Source organism: Homo sapiens, chromosome 1 (assembly GCF_000001405.40).
Source record: "Homo sapiens chromosome 1, GRCh38.p14 Primary Assembly".
In the NCBI taxonomy this organism is placed as follows: Eukaryota; Metazoa; Chordata; class Mammalia; order Primates; family Hominidae; genus Homo; species Homo sapiens.
In genome coordinates, this window is record NC_000001.11 from 11,012,357 (window position 1) to 11,033,404 (window position 21,048).

At 43.9% G+C, this 21,048-nt stretch overlaps 2 protein-coding genes across 10 annotated transcripts in view, besides 4 other annotated features; one reads left to right on the plus strand and one right to left on the minus strand.

The window, feature by feature from the left end:
* Positions 1–330: an enhancer, noted in NCBI's record as "active region_158". NCBI's record gives its function as "activates an Ori minimal core promoter by ATAC-STARR-seq in GM12878 lymphoblastoid cells {active_cell/tissue: GM12878}" and the evidence as "EXISTENCE:reporter gene assay evidence [ECO:0000049][PMID:35858748]".
* Positions 1–1,008: a biological region, named in NCBI's record as "NANOG-H3K27ac-H3K4me1 hESC enhancer GRCh37_chr1:11072454-11073421".
* Positions 41–1,008: an enhancer, noted in NCBI's record as "NANOG-H3K27ac-H3K4me1 hESC enhancer chr1:11072454-11073421 (GRCh37/hg19 assembly coordinates)". NCBI's record gives its function as "activates a minimal SCP1, AML or CMV promoter by ChIP-STARR-seq in primed H9 embryonic stem cells {active_cell/tissue: H9 hESC(primed)}" and the evidence as "EXISTENCE:reporter gene assay evidence [ECO:0000049][PMID:30033119]".
* On the plus strand, positions 298–18,172 carry TARDBP (TAR DNA binding protein). 8 transcript variants are annotated; one of them, XR_007058560.1, is made up of 10 exons: positions 298–387; positions 1,360–1,609; positions 4,488–4,651; positions 6,377–6,517; positions 8,073–8,243; positions 9,768–10,973; positions 11,708–11,979; positions 12,754–12,852; positions 13,195–13,309; positions 17,331–18,172. XR_007058560.1 is itself a non-coding variant. In NM_007375.4 (6 exons), the coding sequence occupies exons 2-6, from the start codon at positions 1,372–1,374 to the stop codon at positions 10,296–10,298; spliced, it is 1,245 nt and encodes a 414-aa protein (NP_031401.1). In that variant the 5' UTR covers positions 298–387; positions 1,360–1,371; the 3' UTR covers positions 10,299–13,136. The 8 variants fall into 8 exon arrangements, 1 of the variants encoding a protein (NP_031401.1); XR_007058562.1 differs by lacking the exon at positions 13,195–13,309; XR_007058563.1 differs by lacking the exon at positions 11,708–11,979.
* Positions 1,370–1,616: a silencer, noted in NCBI's record as "fragment chr1:11073783-11074029 (GRCh37/hg19 assembly coordinates)". NCBI's record gives its function as "represses an EF-1alpha promoter that drives an FKBP-Casp9 reporter gene in an ReSE screen in phorbol 12-myristate 13-acetate-treated (for megakaryocytic differentiation) K562 erythroleukemia cells {active_cell/tissue: K562(+PMA)}" and the evidence as "EXISTENCE:reporter gene assay evidence [ECO:0000049][PMID:32094911]".
* The window catches only part of MASP2 (MBL associated serine protease 2), a 20,717-nt gene continuing 13,835 nt past the window's right edge, over positions 14,167–21,048 (minus strand). Inside the window, exons 9-11 of one of the 2 annotated variants that reach the window (NM_006610.4) lie at positions 18,392–18,526; positions 17,820–17,894; positions 14,167–15,292 (exon numbers count right to left, since the gene is read on the minus strand). In NM_006610.4, coding sequence (NP_006601.2) covers positions 14,529–15,292; positions 17,820–17,894; positions 18,392–18,526 — 974 coding nt within the window. In that variant the 3' untranslated portion in view covers positions 14,167–14,528. Of the gene's footprint in view, positions 15,293–17,819; positions 17,895–18,391; positions 18,527–21,048 lie in introns of those variants that run through there. The other variant, XR_001736931.1, reaches the window with a different exon arrangement.

The window sequence follows — 21,048 nt, forward strand, 5'->3', positions numbered from 1 at the left end:
GCGCGAGCTCCGACCGAGACCTGGGCCGGCGGTTGGTCGGCCGAAACCATCTGCTACGTTACGTGGGGGGAGGTCAGCTCCTATACAGCCACACTTTTTTCAATCTTCAGCTTTTCAGGCCTAGGTCCTGGTTTTATTTTAGCTTTCAGAGCTTCTCTGTAGGCTTGAATTTCCAGGAGGCAGCCCGAGTCCCTGGGGAGAGGGTCATCGTGGCTCTCGTCGGTGCCTTCCACCTCTGGACAGGCAACCGGTGGGAGAGGACGCCGGTGGGCGGGGGGAGGAGGCGGCCCTAGCGCCATTTTGTGGGAGCGAAGCGGTGGCTGGGCTGCGCTTGGGTCCGTCGCTGCTTCGGTGTCCCTGTCGGGCTTCCCAGCAGCGGCCTAGCGGGTGAGTCGCGGAGCCTTCTCACTGAGGACGCCGTAGGTGCCTCGGCTTCTGCATTGGGGCGGCCCGAGGCAGACGCAGCGGCTTCGGACCCTGCCCCGGGAAGTCAGCCGTGAGACCGGGCCTAGTCCTGCCCGAGCGGGCTCGCGCGGGAGCGTCGTTAGGTCCTGGCACGGGGAGGCCGGTGGCGCCGAAACGGGGGGCCGGGCCCGCGGTGCCGCGTAGCCTGAGGCGGAGGTTGGCCCCGGACCCGGACAGTGCCGGAGCCTTCGGTACTTTGTACTTCGAGGGACGCTGCCAGCTTGGGCCTGGTGCTCCTGCGCCCCACCCCGGGCCGCGCCGAGAAACTCCTCCCTCGGCTGGCACGCGCGGGCTTCTGGGAGGCGACGGCCGGCACCGCCAGGACCTGTCGCCGCGGGCCTTGGGGCTCGGGCTCGCAGAGCCCCCGGAAGCCCCAAAATGAGGAACAGAGGGAAACTTTTCTCCTGTTCTTTACACCTGGTTCACTGCCCATATTCAGTCTTCAGGTTCAGCTGATGGATCGCTTGCTTAGGAAAATCGACTGGGACCTATCACGCCCATGCCTCAGCCAGTTAGGCTCCTCCTCTGCCTTCAGGATTACTTAACGACTAACCCGATTGTCATAAAATAGCTACTGTTTATTGTTCCCTTGCATACCCTAGCTTGTAACCAGCAAGCCACGTTGGACTCACAGTTACAGTTTCAGTACCTGACGCATCATAAGCCTTCAGGGAAAGTTTTTTGAATGAATGAACTGGCGAGGCATCACATTTTGATAGGAAATCACTACCCTTACCTTCACCTCGTCATTTTTCAGGGATAACCAATGCATATACGAATCCAGACAAGCATTTTTCTGGAAGTCAGAACTCTGACATGGTTTGGGTATTATCATTATAAGGAAACAGTTATTCTGACATGAATGTTGTTCATTCATATCTCTTTTCTCTTTAGGAAAAGTAAAAGATGTCTGAATATATTCGGGTAACCGAAGATGAGAACGATGAGCCCATTGAAATACCATCGGAAGACGATGGGACGGTGCTGCTCTCCACGGTTACAGCCCAGTTTCCAGGGGCGTGTGGGCTTCGCTACAGGAATCCAGTGTCTCAGTGTATGAGAGGTGTCCGGCTGGTAGAAGGAATTCTGCATGCCCCAGATGCTGGCTGGGGAAATCTGGTGTATGTTGTCAACTATCCAAAAGGTTTGTTACCATTTGGTTTTTGTAATCATGCTGAAGTGTGTTCAGGTGTGTGTCTCATCCATGGATCTTAGCCTCTTTTGGTGGCAGAATGTCTCCTGAAACTTAAGTATTTCCTTGAACTTCAGTGTTAGACAAGTTTGGAAGACCACGAGTCTAAATTTATGGAAACTGGGGATTGTAGATCATTTTAAAAGAGAAAACAATGTATTTAAAAAATATCTGAATAAACTTTGCCAAGTTGATGATAAATTTCAGGAATCACTAAGAATGTTTTGTACATAAATCATTGTTGTAAATAGATTCTTCTGAAGTGCTTCAGTGTTTGGATTTGATCATTGTCCTTTTGGTGTTACATCATTCATTCAGCAAATCTGAGTTCATTTTTTCCCTTAAATGAGCAAACAGTTGGAGTAGCCAAATCTTGAATTAGTGCAGTTCCAATTACAATTTCGAGGTTCTGGTCTTATCCTTCTCTCTGCCTCTTATCAATGATGTTCTAAATCTAAGAAAAGGAAGCATGAAGTTTAAGAAGTGTGCCAAGGAAATACCTAATTTCAGCATTTTGAAGTAGTGTGCTGTTAGTAGTCGATCTGTCTGTGTGTTCCTTTTATTATAACTTGGTATTGCAACAAAGTCCATCAAATTTGGTCAGTATGCAAGACACCCTTTTACATGTCTAGGAAAACTTTAGGGCTAGGCACGGTGACTCATGCCTGTAATCCCAGCACTTTGGGAGGCCGAGGCAGGTGGATCACCTGAGATCAGGAGTTTGAGATGAGCCTGGCCAACATGATGAAACCCCATCTCTATCAAAAACACAAAATCTCTGGATGTGGTGGTGGGTGCCTGTAATACTAGCTACTCAGGAGGCAGACGCAGGAGAATCGCTTGAACCGGGAGGCAGAGGTTGCAGTGAGCAGAGATTGTGCCATTGCACTCCAGCCTGGGCAACAAGAGCGAAACTCCGTCTCAAAACAAAAAAAAACGAAAACAAAAATTGGCGTGGTGGCGGGGGCCTGTAGTCCCAGCTAGTCTGGAGGCTGAGGCAGGAGAATCGCTTGAACCTGGGAGGCGGAGATTACTTTAAGCTGAGGTCGCGCCGCTACACTCCAACCTGTGACAGAGCAAGACTTCGTCTCAAAAAAAAAAAAAATTGATAATGTAAACTCGGGGTTTTTAGTATGCTGTTTCTTCAGCCAGTGGGTATAGATTAATATTTACTCAAATTTAAAATGTCAGGCTCGGTGCAATGGCTCACACCTGTAATCCCAGCACTTTGGGAGGCTGAGGCAAGCAGATCACCTGAGGTCCGAAGTTCAAGACCACCCTAGCCAACATGGTGAAACCCTGTCTCTACTAAAAATTCAAAAATTAGCCAGGCGTGGTGGTTCGCGCCTGTAGTCTCAGTTATTTGGGAGGCTGAGGCAGGAGAATTGCTTGAACCGGGAGGTGGAGATTGCAGTAAGCTGAGATCGTGCCACTGCTCTCTGGCCTGGCAGCAGAGCGAGACACCGTCTCAAAAAAAATTTTTTAAATGTCATTTAATTTATCTCCCCAGGCTGGACATGGTGGCTCACATCTGTAATCCCAGCTACTCGGGAGGCTGAGGCAGGAGAATCACTTGAACCCGGGAGGCAGAGGTTGCAGAGAGGGGAGATTGCGCCACTGCACTCCAGCCTAGGTGACAGAATGAGACTCCGTCTCAAAAAAAAAAAATTATCTCCCCTTCTCTTCTAAATAACCTAAGGTTGAGGTTATTTGGGGGGTTTTTTTGTTGTTGTTTGTTTGTTTGTTTTTTGAGACAGTCTCACTCTGTCGCCCAGGCTGGAGTGCAGTGGCACGATCTTGGCTCACTGCAACCTCCGCCTCCCAGGTTCAAGCAATTCTCTGCCTCAGCCTCATGAGTAGCTGGGATTACAGGTGCCTGCCACCACGCCTGGCTAATTTTTGTATTTTTATTTATTTATTTTTATTTGTTTATTTATTTTTTAGACGAAGTCTCGCCCTTGTCGCCCAGGCTGGAGTGCAGTGGCACGATCTTGGCTCACTGCAACCTCCGCCTCTTGGGTTCAAGCGATTCTCCTGCCTCAGCCTCCCAAGTAGCTGGGATTACAGGCACCTGCCACCACGCCCGGCTAATTTTTTCTTTATTTTTAGTATAGACGGCGTTTCACCATCTTGGCCAGGCTGGTCTTGAACTCCTGACCTTGTGATCCACCTGCCTCAGACTCCCAAAGTGCTGGGATTACAAGTGTGAGCCACCGCGCCCAGCCAGTTATGTTTTTTTAAGTAAGCCAAACTTTTGGTTTCTTTTTCTTTTTTGAAATTAGAGATGGAGGCTCTCGCTCTGTTGCCCAGGCATATTGCAGTGGCTATTCATAGGCACACTGCAGCCTCAAACTCCTGGACTCAAGTCGTCCTTCCTCCTCAGCCTCCTGAGTTGCTGGAACTTACAGGCATACACACCACTGTACCTGGTTTTCTGTTTTATTACAAAAGTTGTGTATTTGTTGTTGAATGTTTAGGAAAGATAAAAGTTAAATCTTCATCAGGATATACAAGTTGCTGATATTTAAAGTCAAAGTGAAGTAGAATTATTTTTGTTTTGATAAACCTTTTGAGAGGGAGAGATTGTAATCCGGAAATGCTACAAAAAACAAACTTGGAAATCACTGAATTTGCACCAGAAAAGCACCTCAGACACTAAACTTAAGCCTTTATTCTGTCCTCTAGAGCAAACATCACTTCTTGCCAAGTTTTCAGTGTCTTATTCTTCTTAGAGTCTTCTTTTTGCTTCTCATTTCTAGATGTAGGAGGTAGTGTTTTTAAAGAAGTGCTAAGTGAAGATTTCTAAAAGGTTTCTGCTCGTTTTATTTAGATAACAAAAGAAAAATGGATGAGACAGATGCTTCATCAGCAGTGAAAGTGAAAAGAGCAGTCCAGAAAACATCCGATTTAATAGTGTTGGGTCTCCCATGGAAAACAACCGAACAGGACCTGAAAGAGTATTTTAGTACCTTTGGAGAAGTTCTTATGGTGCAGGTAAACTTCGATTGCATCAAACAGTTTTTCTTTACCAGTGAATGAGTATCTAGCATTTATTTATTGGTATAAATAGAGATGGGGTATCACTATGTTCCCTAGGTTCTGGCGTCAAACTCCTGGGCCCATACTGTCCTCCTGCCTCGACCCCAATGTGCTGAGCCACCATGCCCAGCCACAATCTTGTTACCTTTCTTTTTTTTTTTTTTTTTTGGAGACCAAGTCTCACTTTGCTGCCCAGGCTGGAGTGCAGTGGCACGATCTTGGCTCACTGCAACCTCCACCTCCCGGGTTTAAGTGATTTCTCCTGTCTCGGCCTCCTGTATCTGGGATTACAGGTGCCCGCCATCATGCCTGGCTAATTTTGTATTTTTAGTAGAGACAGGGTTTCACCCGTTGGCCAGGCTGTTCTTGAACTCCTGACCTCAAGTGATCCACCTGCCTTGGCCTCCCAAAGTGCTGGGATTACAGGTGTGAGCCACCGCGCCCGGCCACATTCTTGTTATTTTAATGGCACTGTCCTTTCTGTTACACAGATGATACTTCCAATATTTGTTATATTTATACATATATGTTGTACCCTATGTTATTGCCTTTGATATTGTAAAATCCTACTGTTGCATGAAGGCTTAAGGGAAGTAGGTGACAATAGCTTTTCTTTATATATTAAACTAATGGGAGGTTTTTCCATTTCATTTAAAATTTGTAAACATTAAATTTAGTTTATCTTTGAATTCATTCTAAGACATTCTGTTAAAATCCTGTTGTGGTGGCTCATGCCTGTAATCCCAGCATTTTGGGAGGCTGAGGTGGGAGGGTTGCTTGAGGCCAGGAGTTCAAGGCCACCTTGGCGAACATATCCAGACTCAGTTTCTCTTTTTTCTTTTTTTTTTGAGACGGAGTCTTGCTCTGTCACCCAGGCTGGAGTGCAGTGGCATGATCTCGGCTCACTGCAAGCTCCGCTTCCCGGGTTCATGCCATTCTCCTGCCTCAGCCTCCCAAGTAGCTGGGACTACAGGTGCCTGCCACCACGCCTGGCTAATTTTTTGTATTTTTAGTAGAGATGGGGTTTCACCGTGTTAGGCAGGATGGTCTCGATCTCCTGACCTCATGATCTGCCCGCCTCCGCCTCCCAAAGTGCTGGGATTACAGGCGTGAGCTACTGTGCCTGGCCTCTCTTTTTTTCTTTTCTTTTTGGAGACAGGGTCTGGCTCTGTCAGTCAGGCTCTAGAGTGCAGTGGTGCAATGTAGGCTCGCTGCAACCTCCACCTCCTGGGTTCAAGCTATTCTTGTGCCTCAGCCTCCCAAGTAGCTGGGACTACAGGTGCATGCCACTACACCTGGCTAATCTTTGTATTTTTTGTAGAGACAGGGTTTTGCTGTGTTGCCCAGGCTGGTCCTGAACTCCTGTGCTCAAGCGATCCACCCTCCTCAGCATCCCAAAGCACTGGGAATACAGGTGTGAGCCACCGCGCCTGGCCCCATCTCTCTTTTTTAAAAAACTCAAAAACATTTCTGTTGTATAAGTGAGTTTTGCTCTGTTGTTAACACAGTATGGATTCAATATTAACCTCCTTGTTTTTACTGTTAAGACTAACTTGGTTTAAGTTTTAAGCCACTGCATCCAGTTGAAACCATTCAAATTGTTTTCTAAGGAACTATGATTTGGGAATGGAGTGTGTGAGTATGTGCACTTTTAGAGTAAACTTGTATCATCCTTTCTAGGTCAAGAAAGATCTTAAGACTGGTCATTCAAAGGGGTTTGGCTTTGTTCGTTTTACGGAATATGAAACACAAGTGAAAGTAATGTCACAGCGACATATGATAGATGGACGATGGTGTGACTGCAAACTTCCTAATTCTAAGGTACTTGCGTCTGTGCTTTGGGAATTTTTGCCAACAAACTTCCTTAGAGGATTGTAAGATAAAATGTTAAACACACTTAGAAAAGATAGCGGCAGGGTGTGTTCATGAAATCCTTTTGTCTTGTTGAAGTCTTTGGCCCTTAGTGCATGCTGAATATTTTATGCTTGTTTGAAATATTTAGTTTATTACTTCTCCAAACTAAACCTTTGTTCATTTTGTTCTTCCTTTTCGCTATGGATGGAAAAGAGAAAAGGTTATTTGTCAAGTTAATAGTTTCTTACATAGTTATATGTTAAAACATAAAGAGAATCAGAATACATACATTAATTGTTATAAAGACCTAACTTTTTCCAAGCAAACAAATAACATTGGCTTATTTGGAACATCATCATCTTTGCCAAGAGATTGCTTATTTATTAATTTTCTCAAATCCAAACACAGTCATGTATCACATGGCAAAGTTGATCAGTCAGCAGCAGACCTCGTGTACAGCAGTGGTCCCATAGGATTATAACACTGTTTTTACTGTACCCTTTCTATGTTTAGATACACAAATACTTACCATCATGTTATAGTCGCCTACAGTGTTGAGTACAGTAACTTGAAAGTTTGTGGCCTGGGAGCAATAGGCTATACCATCTAGCCTAGATGTGGGGTAGGCTATGCTATCTGGGTTTATATGATGTTTGCACAACGACTTTTTTTTTTTGAGAGAGAGAGTCTCACTCTGTCATCCGGGCTGGAGTGCAGTGGTGCAATCTCAGCTCACTGCAAGCTCTGCCTCCCGGGTTCACGTCGTTCTCCTGCCTCAGCCTGCCGAGTAGCTGGGACTACAGGTGCCCACCAACACGCCTGGCTAATTTTTTGTATTTTTAGTAGAGATGGGGTTTCACCGTGTTAGCCAGGATGGTCTTGATCTCCTGACTTCATGATCCGCCCATCTCGGGCTCCCAAAGTGCTGGGATTACAGGTGTGAGCCACCGCACCTGGCCCTTTTTTTTTTTTTTTGAGATGGAGTTTCACTCTTATTGCTCAGGCTGGAGTGCAATGGTGCAATCTTGGCTCACTGCAACCTCCTCTTCCGGGTTCAAGTGATTCTCCTACCTCAGCCTCCCAAGATGCTGGGATTACAGGTGCCTGCCACCACACCCGGCTGATTTTTGTATTAGTAGAGGTGGGGTTTCACCATGTTGACCAGGCTGGTTTGAACTCCTGACCTCAAGTGATCCACCCGCCTCGGCCTCTCAAAGTGCTGGGATTACAGGTGTCAGCCACCACACCTGGCCACGATGATGAAATTGTGTAATGGCTCATGATGTATTTATATCCATCATTATGTGATGCATGACTGTGTACTTTTGTAACTTAAAACGTTACTCTTCACTGAAGCCTTACAAGAAAAAGAAATGCTGATGGAAAAAATTAAGGGTACGTCTACTTTTTAATGGTTCACTGCTATCCAAGGCGAATGATTTTGTTATATCCCTTACCTTAATGTTTTTTTCATTGTTCATAACATATTTCTGAGTTTTTTTCTTCCTTTTGATTTGATCAGCAAAGCCAAGATGAGCCTTTGAGAAGCAGAAAAGTGTTTGTGGGGCGCTGTACAGAGGACATGACTGAGGATGAGCTGCGGGAGTTCTTCTCTCAGTACGGGGATGTGATGGATGTCTTCATCCCCAAGCCATTCAGGGCCTTTGCCTTTGTTACATTTGCAGATGATCAGGTATTTTTCTCCTTAACGATATGTCCCGGCCGGGCGTGGTGGCTCATGCTTACAATCCCAGCACTTTGGAGGCCGAGGCGGGTGGATCACGAGGTCAGGAGATCAAGACCATCCTGGCCAACATGGTGAAACCCCGTCTCTATTAAAATACAAAAAAAAAAAAAAATAGCTCGGTGTGGTGGTGCACGCCTGTGGTCCCAGCTACTCTGGAGCCTGAGGCAGGGGAATCGCTTGAACCCAGGAGGCGGAGGTGGCAGTGAACTGAGATCACACCACTGCATTCCAGCCCAGTGACAGAGTGAGACTCTGTCTCAAAAAAAAAAATATGTCCCAGGTAATTAGGTAATTTCTCTTGAACATTGCCCATGCAGCTAATTGCTATTCTTAGCTAAGTTTTCTGACCTTGTAAGACGTAGGGTGTATGGGCCTAGATGTTTGTGATACCTGTATCTGATATCACAAATACAACATTTTAAGAAATCTAAAAGTAAATATGCCTTTAGATAATTTTCAGTATGTGGCATTTGGGAATGTTATATACTTTTTTTTTTTTTTTGAGACAGAGTTTTGCTCTTGTTGCCCGGGCTGGAGTGTGATGGCGCGATCTTGGCTCGCTGCATCCTCCACCTCATGGGTTCAAGCGATTGTCTTGGCTCAGCCTCCTGAGTAGCTGGGATTACAGGTGCCTGCCACCACGCCTGGCTGATTTTTTTGTGCTTTTAGTAGAGACAGGGTTTCACCATGTTGGCCAGGCTGGTCTCGAACTCCTGACCTCAGGTGATCTGCCCATCTCAGCCTCCCAAAGTGCTGGGATTACAGGCATGAGCCACCACGCCTGGCCAGTTTTTTGTATCTTTAGTAGATAACGGGGTTTCACTGTTTTGATCTGGCTGGTCTTGAACTCCTGACCTCAGGTGATCCACCCCCCTCAGCCTCCCAAAGTGCTGGGATTACAGGCGTGAGCCACTGCTCCTGCTCCCGGCCCATTTTTTAAATTATTATTTTGAGACAGGGTCTCACTCTGTTGCCCAGGCTGGTGGAACACAGTGGTGTAATCATAGCTCACTACACCCTAGAACTCCTGGGCTCAGCCTCCAGGGGGAGGATCCTCCAGCTTCAGCCTCCCAAGTAGCTAGGACAGATGCATGCCACTACGCCCAGCTAATGTGGCTTTTTTGTGGTTTTTTTTGATAGAGGTGGGGTCTCCCTGTGTTGTCTAGGCTGCCAGGCTAGTCTTGAACTATTGGCCTCACACAGTCCTCCCACCTTGGCCTCCCAAAGCGCTAGGATTACAGGCATGAGCCACCATGCCCAGCCTATGTCTTTTGAAAATCGACTGAAATATCACTGCTGCTGTTAATAAAACTAAAAGCTGTATTGGGGGTTTAAATGAAATGAGTGTTCATTGCTTATTTTTCCTCTGGCTTTAGATAAATTAATGCTTGTAATCTAAGTTTTGTTGCTACTTTAAATATATGAATCAGTGGTTTAATCTTCTTTGTTTACATCCCTTATTTCTTATAGATTGCGCAGTCTCTTTGTGGAGAGGACTTGATCATTAAAGGAATCAGCGTTCATATATCCAATGCCGAACCTAAGCACAATAGCAATAGACAGTTAGAAAGAAGTGGAAGATTTGGTGGTAATCCAGGTGGCTTTGGGAATCAGGGTGGATTTGGTAATAGCAGAGGGGGTGGAGCTGGTTTGGGAAACAATCAAGGTAGTAATATGGGTGGTGGGATGAACTTTGGTGCGTTCAGCATTAATCCAGCCATGATGGCTGCCGCCCAGGCAGCACTACAGAGCAGTTGGGGTATGATGGGCATGTTAGCCAGCCAGCAGAACCAGTCAGGCCCATCGGGTAATAACCAAAACCAAGGCAACATGCAGAGGGAGCCAAACCAGGCCTTCGGTTCTGGAAATAACTCTTATAGTGGCTCTAATTCTGGTGCAGCAATTGGTTGGGGATCAGCATCCAATGCAGGGTCGGGCAGTGGTTTTAATGGAGGCTTTGGCTCAAGCATGGATTCTAAGTCTTCTGGCTGGGGAATGTAGACAGTGGGGTTGTGGTTGGTTGGTATAGAATGGTGGGAATTCAAATTTTTCTAAACTCATGGTAAGTATATTGTAAAATACATATGTACTAAGAATTTTCAAAATTGGTTTGTTCAGTGTGGAGTATATTCAGCAGTATTTTTGACATTTTTCTTTAGAAAAAGGAAGAGCTAAAGGAATTTTATAAGTTTTGTTACATGAAAGGTTGAAATATTGAGTGGTTGAAAGTGAACTGCTGTTTGCCTGATTGGTAAACCAACACACTACAATTGATATCAAAAGGTTTCTCCTGTAATATTTTATCCCTGGACTTGTCAAGTGAATTCTTTGCATGTTCAAAACGGAAACCATTGATTAGAACTACATTCTTTACCCCTTGTTTTAATTTGAACCCCACCATATGGATTTTTTTCCTTAAGAAAATCTCCTTTTAGGAGATCATGGTGTCACAGTGTTTGGTTCTTTTGTTTTGTTTTTTAACACTTGTCTCCCCTCATACACAAAAGTACAATATGAAGCCTTCATTTAATCTCTGCAGTTCATCTCATTTCAAATGTTTATGGAAGAAGCACTTCATTGAAAGTAGTGCTGTAAATATTCTGCCATAGGAATACTGTCTACATGCTTTCTCATTCAAGAATTCGTCATCACGCATCACAGGCCGCGTCTTTGACGGTGGGTGTCCCATTTTTATCCGCTACTCTTTATTTCATGGAGTCGTATCAACGCTATGAACGCAAGGCTGTGATATGGAACCAGAAGGCTGTCTGAACTTTTGAAACCTTGTGTGGGATTGATGGTGGTGCCGAGGCATGAAAGGCTAGTATGAGCGAGAAAAGGAGAGAGCGCGTGCAGAGACTTGGTGGTGCATAATGGATATTTTTTAACTTGGCGAGATGTGTCTCTCAATCCTGTGGCTTTGGTGAGAGAGTGTGCAGAGAGCAATGATAGCAAATAATGTACGAATGTTTTTTGCATTCAAAGGACATCCACATCTGTTGGAAGACTTTTAAGTGAGTTTTTGTTCTTAGATAACCCACATTAGATGAATGTGTTAAGTGAAATGATACTTGTACTCCCCCTACCCCTTTGTCAACTGCTGTGAATGCTGTATGGTGTGTGTTCTCTTCTGTTACTGATATGTAAGTGTGGCAATGTGAACTGAAGCTGATGGGCTGAGAACATGGACTGAGCTTGTGGTGTGCTTTGCAGGAGGACTTGAAGCAGAGTTCACCAGTGAGCTCAGGTGTCTCAAAGAAGGGTGGAAGTTCTAATGTCTGTTAGCTACCCATAAGAATGCTGTTTGCTGCAGTTCTGTGTCCTGTGCTTGGATGCTTTTTATAAGAGTTGTCATTGTTGGAAATTCTTAAATAAAACTGATTTAAATAATATGTGTCTTTGTTTTGCAGCCCTGAATGCAAAGAATTCATAGCAGTTAATTCCCCTTTTTTGACCCTTTTGAGATGGAACTTTCATAAAGTTTCTTGGCAGTAGTTTATTTTGCTTCAAATAAACTTATTTGAAAAGTTGTCTCAAGTCAAATGGATTCATCACCTGTCATGCATTGACACCTGATACCCAGACTTAATTGGTATTTGTTCTTGCATTGGCCAAAGTGAAAATTTTTTTTTTTCTTTTGAAATCTAGTTTTGAATAAGTCTGGGTGACCGCACCTAAAATGGTAAGCAGTACCCTCCGGCTTTTTCTTAGTGCCTCTGTGCATTTGGGTGATGTTCTATTTACATGGCCTGTGTAAATCTCCATTGGGAAGTCATGCCTTCTAAAAAGATTCTTATTTGGGGGAGTGGGCAAAATGTTGATTATTTTCTAATGCTTTGTAGCAAAGCATATCAATTGAAAAGGGAATATCAGCACCTTCCTAGTTTGGGATTTGAAAAGTGGAATTAATTGCAGTAGGGATAAAGTAGAAGAAACCACAAATTATCTTGTGCCTGAAATCCATTAAGAGGCCTGATAGCTTTAAGAATTAGGGTGGGTTGTCTGTCTGGAAGTGTTAAGTGGAATGGGCTTTGTCCTCCAGGAGGTGGGGGAATGTGGTAACATTGAATACAGTTGAATAAAATCGCTTACAAAACTCACACTCTCACAATGCATTGTTAAGTATGTAAAAGCAATAACATTGATTCTCTGTTGTACTTTTTTGTAACTAATTCTGTGAGAGTTGAGCTCATTTTCTAGTTGGAAGAATGTGATATTTGTTGTGTTGGTAGTTTACCTAATGCCCTTACCTAATTAGATTATGATAAATAGGTTTGTCATTTTGCAAGTTACATAAACATTTATCAATGAAGTCATCCTTTAGACTTGTAATCGCCACATTGTTTCATTATTCAGTTTCCTCTGTAAAGGGATCTTGAGTTGTTTTAATTTTTTTTTTCTGCATCTGAATCTGCATGATTTCCAAACCCTGTACCATCTGAATTTTGCATTTTAGCACTTGCACTATTACTCAGCAGCAGTAACATGGTAACACTTAAAATGGTACTCGGGGACCTCCAAAGACTAAACTGACAAGCCTTCAAGGAGCCCAGGGGTAAGTTAACTTGTCAACGGCATGGTTTAATCCCTTCTTTACACTTGTGTAAATTTCAGTTACTGGTCATAGAAGGCTTTCAATGTTGAGTGGCCTTTTATTAACATGTTTATGGTACTGCATAGATACGGGTATTTATTTTACCCTAAGAAGATTTTGAAGTTTAAAAGTACTTAAACTATTTGGCAAAGATTTGTTTTTAAAAATCTATTTGGTCAATCTAAATGCATTCATTCTAAAAAATTTTTTGAACCAGATAAATAAAATTTTTTTTTGACACCACAGTTTAGTGTCTGGAGTCTTACTGGAAAAACACGATTTCTTTTTATATGTGATATACAGATGCTGGAAAGTTACCTTTAAAAATTGAGTCTCTAAAGAAAAAAGAAAATAATAAAAATTGAGTCTCAAGAAGTTGTACTTCATATGCACAAGAGAAATGAGGCCAAGACTCACAGTAAGCTTTTACATGGAATGGTAACTTTTAGTTAGACTGAAAAACTTGAATGTTAGCTATTAAAACCTTTTAGGAAGGAATAGCCAGCTAAAACCAAATGAGATTTTTAAAGTTAAATCAGCACTTAAGTTGTGTCCTTAGTAGGAAAAAGTAGGAAGTTAACTACTCCGTAATCCAAGAGATAATGTGTAACAGTAAGAATGATTTTGTTGTTGTTGAGTATGAGCAAAGTAGCCCCTAAGTGTGTATTAGGGTTCTGTACTTAACTGTTGTGTGATGTGTGCTTTTGTTAGGCATCACTGTGCCCAAGTATTTCATGTTCATTGTAAAGAGGAAAAATACAGATTTCTCTATAATGTCACCACTTATTTCTAATGCCACTTTTCATCTTGTGGAAATGCCATGTTTTGATTCAGTCTTCTGAATTTGAACATTATTCAGGTTATTTCCAATTGCTGGGAATATCCTTACTGCTAAAATAAATTCTTAGCATTGGAATTGCTAGGTCAAAGATTATGCATGCTTTTTAAGGGCTTTTGAAATGTATTGCCAGTCTGTGGCCTGCCACCCTCCCTGAACATGCCTGGTCTTGCTTAAAATGTATTGCCAAATAGTCCTTGGGAAGTTTATGTTGTCTTTAACAATGTGAAATAGTACTACTATTCACGTTCCTTTTGTCTGACAATTTGATAAGTGAATAATTGTATCCCACCATTCTGTAGTATTGGTTTTTAACATGGAAATTTTAGTCAATACCTGGGCTGAAGTATCAGTGTTTCCAACCTACCTACCCAAAAAAAGGATTCAAGGTTATTCCTCAATCAGTACTGCCATAATATATAAAGCACTTACAGAGATCAATAAGAACAAGTTTAAAAACAAAGAGCATGGACAGGCAGTTTACAGAAATGCCAACAGCCAGTATGAAAAGAGACTGGCTTTTTAAGGTAATGAAATGTAATTTGAGCAGTGACATTACACTGGGTGGGCAAAGATGACTGTCACTCTCGTGGTTTATGTCCCCTTGAGTCAATGGGTAAGGCTGGAATTAAACTGGCAAGTGGAGAAATGACAGCAGCCTCACCTGGAGTCTGTTTTTTTGGGTGGAGCAACAACTGCCATGTCCACAGTAATGATGAATGCTTCTCGAGCCACGTCGCTGCCAAGGTCTTCACAGGCATTTCTAAAAATGAAGAATCCTTGACTGCAGACACGCAAGTTAAAAATCACTAATTATGTTCTCGATCCAGGGAATATAGTTAATAACTTTTGTGTAGACTCCATACTGACCTGCTTCCCCACAATTCATGGAACCCCAGGACACTATTCCTCCCACAAACCACCTCTCTGTTTCACTATCTAGAAACACCAGTGCCCCTCCGCTGTCACCTCTGCAGCTGTCCTTGCCCCCACTTTCTAAGCCAGCACAAAGCATGTTAGCAGTTACACTTCCCCTTGGATAGGGTGGCTTTTCATATGCAGCAGTACATTTTTGATGGTCAACAATCGGTATGTCGACATACATTAGATTTCTAGCAAGAAAACCCCTTTGGGTTAATCCCCATCCAGATGCAGTTCCAATGTCATCTGTCCTCATAAAGGATTCAGCTTCTTTTCTTGGCAGACAAATAGGCGTGATGTTGCTATTGATTACAACTTTGTTATTCAATTTAATCAGTGCTATGTCATTGTCAAAGCCAGCATCATGAGTATAACCTTCATGTATAAAAACAGCTTCAGACCAGGCTTGTGTATAATGAGGTGATAGTCTTTTCAGGGTGCCCATTCGAATGTCCAGGGCGGATGCATCATGTTTTTGCTCATAGACGGCATGAGCAGCTGTTAGGACCCAGTTGTCATATAAAAGTGCACCTGCTGCTGTGGTTCCACCTAATATCAGGACTTGCCAAGGAAAATCACCAGGTTTTGCCTTTTGCCCTCCATATATACGCCCTCCTGTTGTGCGGGCTGATAGTCCACAAACTGGAGAAAGAAGCAGATAGGTAGAGAGCCTTTGTAAAAATGTCAATCGTGTTTTTCTTAAATTATGACCGCCTTGAAGTATATATTTGATGTCAACCAAAAATTATATTACATGAATTGGTGGGTGACTACCTATACAGGCAAGTGAGGCTATTTTAAAACATCACAGTTCAAACACCTGATAAAACCTTTTGGTATTTCTTAGCTCCTCAGAAAATGAGATTAGTGAAAACTGACTTTTAGAAGTTATTTTGTTTTGCTAAAATAATTTGGTCTATAAGATTGGGAAAATTGGCCGGGTGCAGTGTCACACCTGTAATCCCAGCACTTTGGGAGGCTGAGATGGGTGGATCACCTGAGGTCAGGAGTTTGAGACCAGCCTGGCCAACATGGTGAGACCCTGTCTCTACTACATACACAAAAATTAGCCGGGCGTGGTGATGGGCACCTGTAATCCCAGCCACTTGGGAGGCTGAGGCAGGAGAGTTGCTTGAACCTGGGAGGCGGAGGTTGCAGTAAGACAAGTCACACCACTGCACTCTAGCCTGGTAAGAGCAAAACTCCATCTCAAAAAAAAAAGGAGATTAGGAAAATTAACAGGGCAAGCAGGCATTGTCTGAGCAGATGGACTGGATGATGTGCATAGGAATTAGAAGGATATAACCTTTTCATTGTTTCTGTTTTCCTACTTGTAAAATGGGTATTTATGTAATCCTAGGAAAGCAGGAACTAAAGTCAGTATCAGGATTTGCAAAATTACTTTTACCTTTGAACATACAAATGTTTTAGAAATTAGAATGTTGCAGTTGTGGCTAGGACCCTGTGGATTCCAAAATTTTATTTTTGGTCTAGTTGATTCTTCCAAACTAAGTTTTATTGTATCTTTATTGCAAATTAAATACGCCCATTAATGTAGCATATATGTTTGCTGTTGTGGTAGTGTACTTGCATTAATACCTACAGACGTTGTGTTAGCCAAATACAGGTTTAAAAAAACTAATTTGAGCCAAATAACACAAGGGTAATTAATATATTACTATCTTTCTGGGTTTTTTTTCTTTTTTTTTTTTTTTTTTTTTTTTTGAGACAGAGTCTCGCTCTGTCACCCAGGTTGGAGTGCAGTGGTACAATCTTGGCTCACTGCAAGCTCTGCCTCCCAGGTTCATGCCATTCTCCTGCCTCAGCCTCCTGAGTAGCTGGGACTACAGGCACACGCCACCACACCTGGCTAATTTTTTGTATTTTTAATAGAGATGGGGTTTCACCGTTTTAGCCAGACTGGTCTTGATCTCCTGACCTCACGATCTGCCCGCCTCAGCCTCCCAAAGTGCTGACTTTTTTTTTCTTTTTCTCTTTTTTTTTGAGACAGAGTCTCGCTCTGTTGCCCAGGCTGGAGTGCAGTGGCGCAATCTTGGCTCACTGCAAGCTCCACCTCCCGGGTTCACGCCATTCTCTTGCCTCAGCCTCCCGAGTAGCTGGGACTACAGGCGCCTGCCACCACACCAGGCTAATTTTTTGTATTTTTTTTTTTTTAGTAGAGACGGAGTTTCACCATGTTGGCCAAGATGGTCTCGATCTCCTGACCTCGTGATCTTTCCGCCTTGGCCTCCCAAAGTGCTGGGATTACAGGCGTGAGCCACCATGCCTGGCCCTGATTTGTTTTTTTAAATCATTCTACAGAGGGGGAGGTTGCAGTGAGCCGAGATTGCGCCACTGCACTCCAACCTGGCAAGAGAGCGAGATTCCGTCTCAAAAAATAATAATAATAATTCTACTCAACTATTATCTTTGGAGCCAATTCTGGTTAAAAAAAAAAGTACTATTAAAAGGCAGATTGCATTGATGTTTAAAAACTAGATGTTGAAAACAATTGCTTGGGGAAATTATTTGCTTTGGGTTTTAATAGCATTTTAACATAGAATAGTAACTCAACAGAAGAACTTGTGTTTATAAATGTATAAGTTGGTCAAGATAATTTTTAAAATCTTTTTTTTTTTTTTTTTTTTTTTGGATATGGAATTTCACTACTGTTGCCCAGGCTAGAGTATAATGGTGCGATCTGGGCTCACCGCAACCTCCACCACCTGGGTTCAAGCAATTCTGCCTCAGCCGCTCGAGTAGCTGGGATTACAGGCATGTACCACCACACCCGGCTAATTTTGTATTTTTATTAGAGACGGGGTTTCTCCATGCTGGTCAGGCTGGCCTCAGGTGACCCACCTGCCTCGGCCTCCCAAAGTGCTGGGATTACAGGCGTGAGCCACACCTGGCCTAAAAATCATTTAATTTTTTATGCTTGCCTAGTTATAAGGTCAAAGAGAATCAAATGACTGATGCAGTCAGCACCTAACAACCTCTGTATATGGGAAGGGGGTAATGAGAACATACTATTTGGAAATAATAACAGCCTAAGAGCCAAGTGCTGAAGTTACATTTCTGCCTACCACAGCTAAAGCTCTCCTCACTGTCTCCTACCCAGTCCTCCTTTCCATCAATTACCAGTCTCTTGTATAAATGTATCCATTACCAGGCTCACAGACTGGGAGTGATTTTTCTCCTTTGGAGCTCGTCCAGAATCCATCAGCCTCACACACATATTTACCTGCAAATCATTGGAAAAGCAAAAATGTTTAACTGCATGTATAAGATGGTTGTCATTTGCTTGAATACCCCCTTGAAAAATGTTGATTCTTGAGCATCAGTGGGACATAGAGGTGTCTGAAGAACCATTTTACATGATTTCATAAATAGGAGGTCTCTGCATTACCATGTTTGCTTGCAAAGTGGAAACCTTTTAGATGTGTAACTTGAATATGTATCAAGATCTCAAGTGCTTAATGATAAGGTGTTGACTTGTTAAATTAAACCATTTGGAATACATTGTGTGTTTGTAGTAGTCATTTACTAGATCTGTTTTCAGATTTTTGCAAATTGACATTAAAGTCACTTTAGCTATAATATTTCACTTAGCGGATGGGAGAAGTGGCTTTTAATCTTTTGTCTAGCCTTAGCCAAAAATGTTGGTTAAAGTTTATTTTCAGACCATGGGGGCTCAAGTTCCAAGTATTGCCCACCCCCAACTTTGAAGAATTTGCATACCATCATTCACTTTCATTGTGTAGAAGGTCTCTTCACAGCTGTACTGAATCACAGCTTTGTAGGTGGTCACTCCAGGACCTGTGATGTACTCCACTCGGCCACTGGGTAGATCATCAGGAGGGCCACAGTCAACAACTAAGAAAGAAGCATGGGAGGGAGGAATCCATTGATCATTTCAGTGCTAACTTTCCAAAGGTCTGGAGAAGCACCTTTGGGAGGCTGAGGCGGGCAAATCCCTTGAGCTCAGGAGTTTGAGACCAGCCTGGGCAACATGGCAAGACCCCCTCTCTACGAAAGGTTAAAAAGCCGAGCATGGTGGCACGTGCCTGTTGTCCCAATTACTTGAGAGGCTGAGGTGGGAGGTAACTAAATGGCTGAACTGAGGGGGAGTCGTCCATGTGGAGGAAGAGGTGTGCTGCCTTTCCTAGAGAAAGGGAATTTGAAACCACCCAGAGCTCCTTAGCACCCTCATGTCAAATATAAGAAAGATCTGCGGCCGGGCGCGATGGCTCATGCCTGTAATCCCGGCACTTTGGGAGGCCGAGGCGGGCAGATCACAAGGTCAGGAGATGGAGACCATCCTGGCTAACACGGTGAAACCCCGTCTCTACTAAAAATACAAAAAAAAAAAATTAGCCAGGCGTGGTAGCGGGCGCCTGTAGTCCCAGCTACTCGGGAGGCTGAGGCAGGAGAATGGCATGAACCCGGGAGGCGGAGCTTGCAGAGAGCCAAGATGGCACCACTTCACTCCAGCCTGGGTGACAGAGCAAGACTCTGTCTTAAAAAAAAAAAAAAAAAAGGCTGCAGCGGAACAGCACATGACATGGCACAGGTTCAATGTAAAAGGTTGCAATTTAGAAGGCAGTAAGGGTAGAAAAGGACACGATAGTAAGATTGGAGGAGCTGGGCTCGGTGGTTCAAACCTGTAATCAGCATTTTGGGAGGCCAAAGTGGGAGGGTCACTTGAGACCAGGAGTTCAGGACCAGTCTGGGCAATAGCGAAACCCTCTCTACAAAAGGTAAATTGGCTGGGCTTGGTGGCGTGGTCTCAGCTACTCAGGAGGCTGAAGCAGGAGGATGGCTTGAGCCTGGGAGGATGAGGCCGCAGTGAGCTATGATCACACCACTGCACTACCGCCTGGGTGATAGAGACTTTGTCTCCAAAACAAAAAATTCAGCTTATTCTTCTGATCCTTTTAATAAATTGAAGTTTTTAGAAAGACCTGGAAGTCTTTCTAAAGCTCACTGGGCACGGCTCACACGTGTAATCCCAGCACTCAAGAGAGGCCAGGGCAGCCTGGGCAACATAGTGAGACCCCATCTCTACCAAAAATTTAAAAGGAGCTGGGTATGTGGCACGTGCCTGTAGTCCAAGCTACTGAGGAGGCTGAGACAGGAGGATCACTTGAGCCCGGGAGTTTGAGGGTGTGTCACATGAGGTATGGTTGATCATTATCCCAGTTTGGGGTGTGTGTATTACCACATAAAATTGCCCCCCTTTTCTACATACAATAGTGTATACTTGCTCACACATGTGAATTGTGTGTAATTGGAGGGACACACACCAAAACGGTAACGATTAGGCCGGGCCTGGTGGCTCACACCTGTAATTGCAGCACTTTGGGAGGCCAAGGTGGGTGGATCACTTGAGATTAGGAGTTGGAGACAAGCCTGGGCAACATGGTGAAACCCTGCCTCTACTAAAACTAAAAAAATTACTGGGTGTGGTGGCGGGCGCCTGTAATCCCGGCTACTGGGGAAGCTGAAGCAGGAGAATTGCTTGAACCCAGGAGGCAGAGGTTTCAGTGAGTCGAGATTGTGCCACTGCACTCCAGCCTGGGTGACAGAATGAGACCCCGTCAAAAAAAAAAAAAAAAGTGGCTGGTCACGGTGGCTCACGCCTGTAATCCCAACACTTTGGGAGGCCAAGGCAGGTGGATCACTTGAAGTCAGGAGTTCAAGACCAGCCTGGCCAACATGGTGAAACCTCGTCTCTACTAAAAATAGAAAAATTAGCTGGGCTTGGTGGGAAGTGCTTGTAATCCCAGCTATTTGGGAGGCTGAGGCAGGATAATTACTTGAACCCGGGAGAAGGAGGTTGCAGTGAGCCGAGATGGCGCCACTCCACTCCAGCCTGGGTGACAGAACAAGACTCCGTCTCAAAAAATAAATAAATATTAAAAAGTAATGATTATACTTGCATATGGTGGTATTACAGGTATTAAGATGTTCATAATTTTCTGTATTTTCCATCTTCTACCATGAATATTGTTGCTTTCATACTTAGAAAAATATTGTCGGCCGGGCGCGGTGGCTCATGCGTGTAATCCCAGCACTTTGGGAAGCCAAGGTGGGTGGATCCCCTGAGGGCGGGAGTTCGAGACCAGCCTGACCAACATGGAGAAACCCCGTCTCTACTAAAAATACAAAATTAGCCGGGCGTGGTAGCACATGCCTGTAATCCCAGCTACTAGGGAGGCTGAGGCAGGAGAATCGCTTGAACCTGGGAGGCAGAGGTTGCGGTGAGCCAAGATCACGCCATTGTACTCCAGCCTGGGCAACAAGAACAAAACTGCGTCTCCAAAAAAAAAAAGAAAAAGAAAAAAATATTGTCAGGCTGGGCGCTGTGGCTCATGCCTGTACTACTAGCGCTTTGG

What these genes read in the sequence shown, in the direction of transcription:
- TARDBP (NM_007375.4), top strand. Translation starts at nt 1,372, where the DNA reads ATGTCTGAATATATTCGGGTAACCGAAGATGAGAACGATGAGCCCATT. An exon ending in GAGAAGTTCTTATGGTGCAG is followed by an intron (nt 4,652 to 6,376) that starts GTAAACTTCGAT and finishes CATCCTTTCTAG; the next exon opens with GTCAAGAAAGATCTTAAGAC. An exon ending in TTACATTTGCAGATGATCAG is followed by an intron (nt 8,244 to 9,767) that starts GTATTTTTCTCC and finishes TATTTCTTATAG; the next exon opens with ATTGCGCAGTCTCTTTGTGG.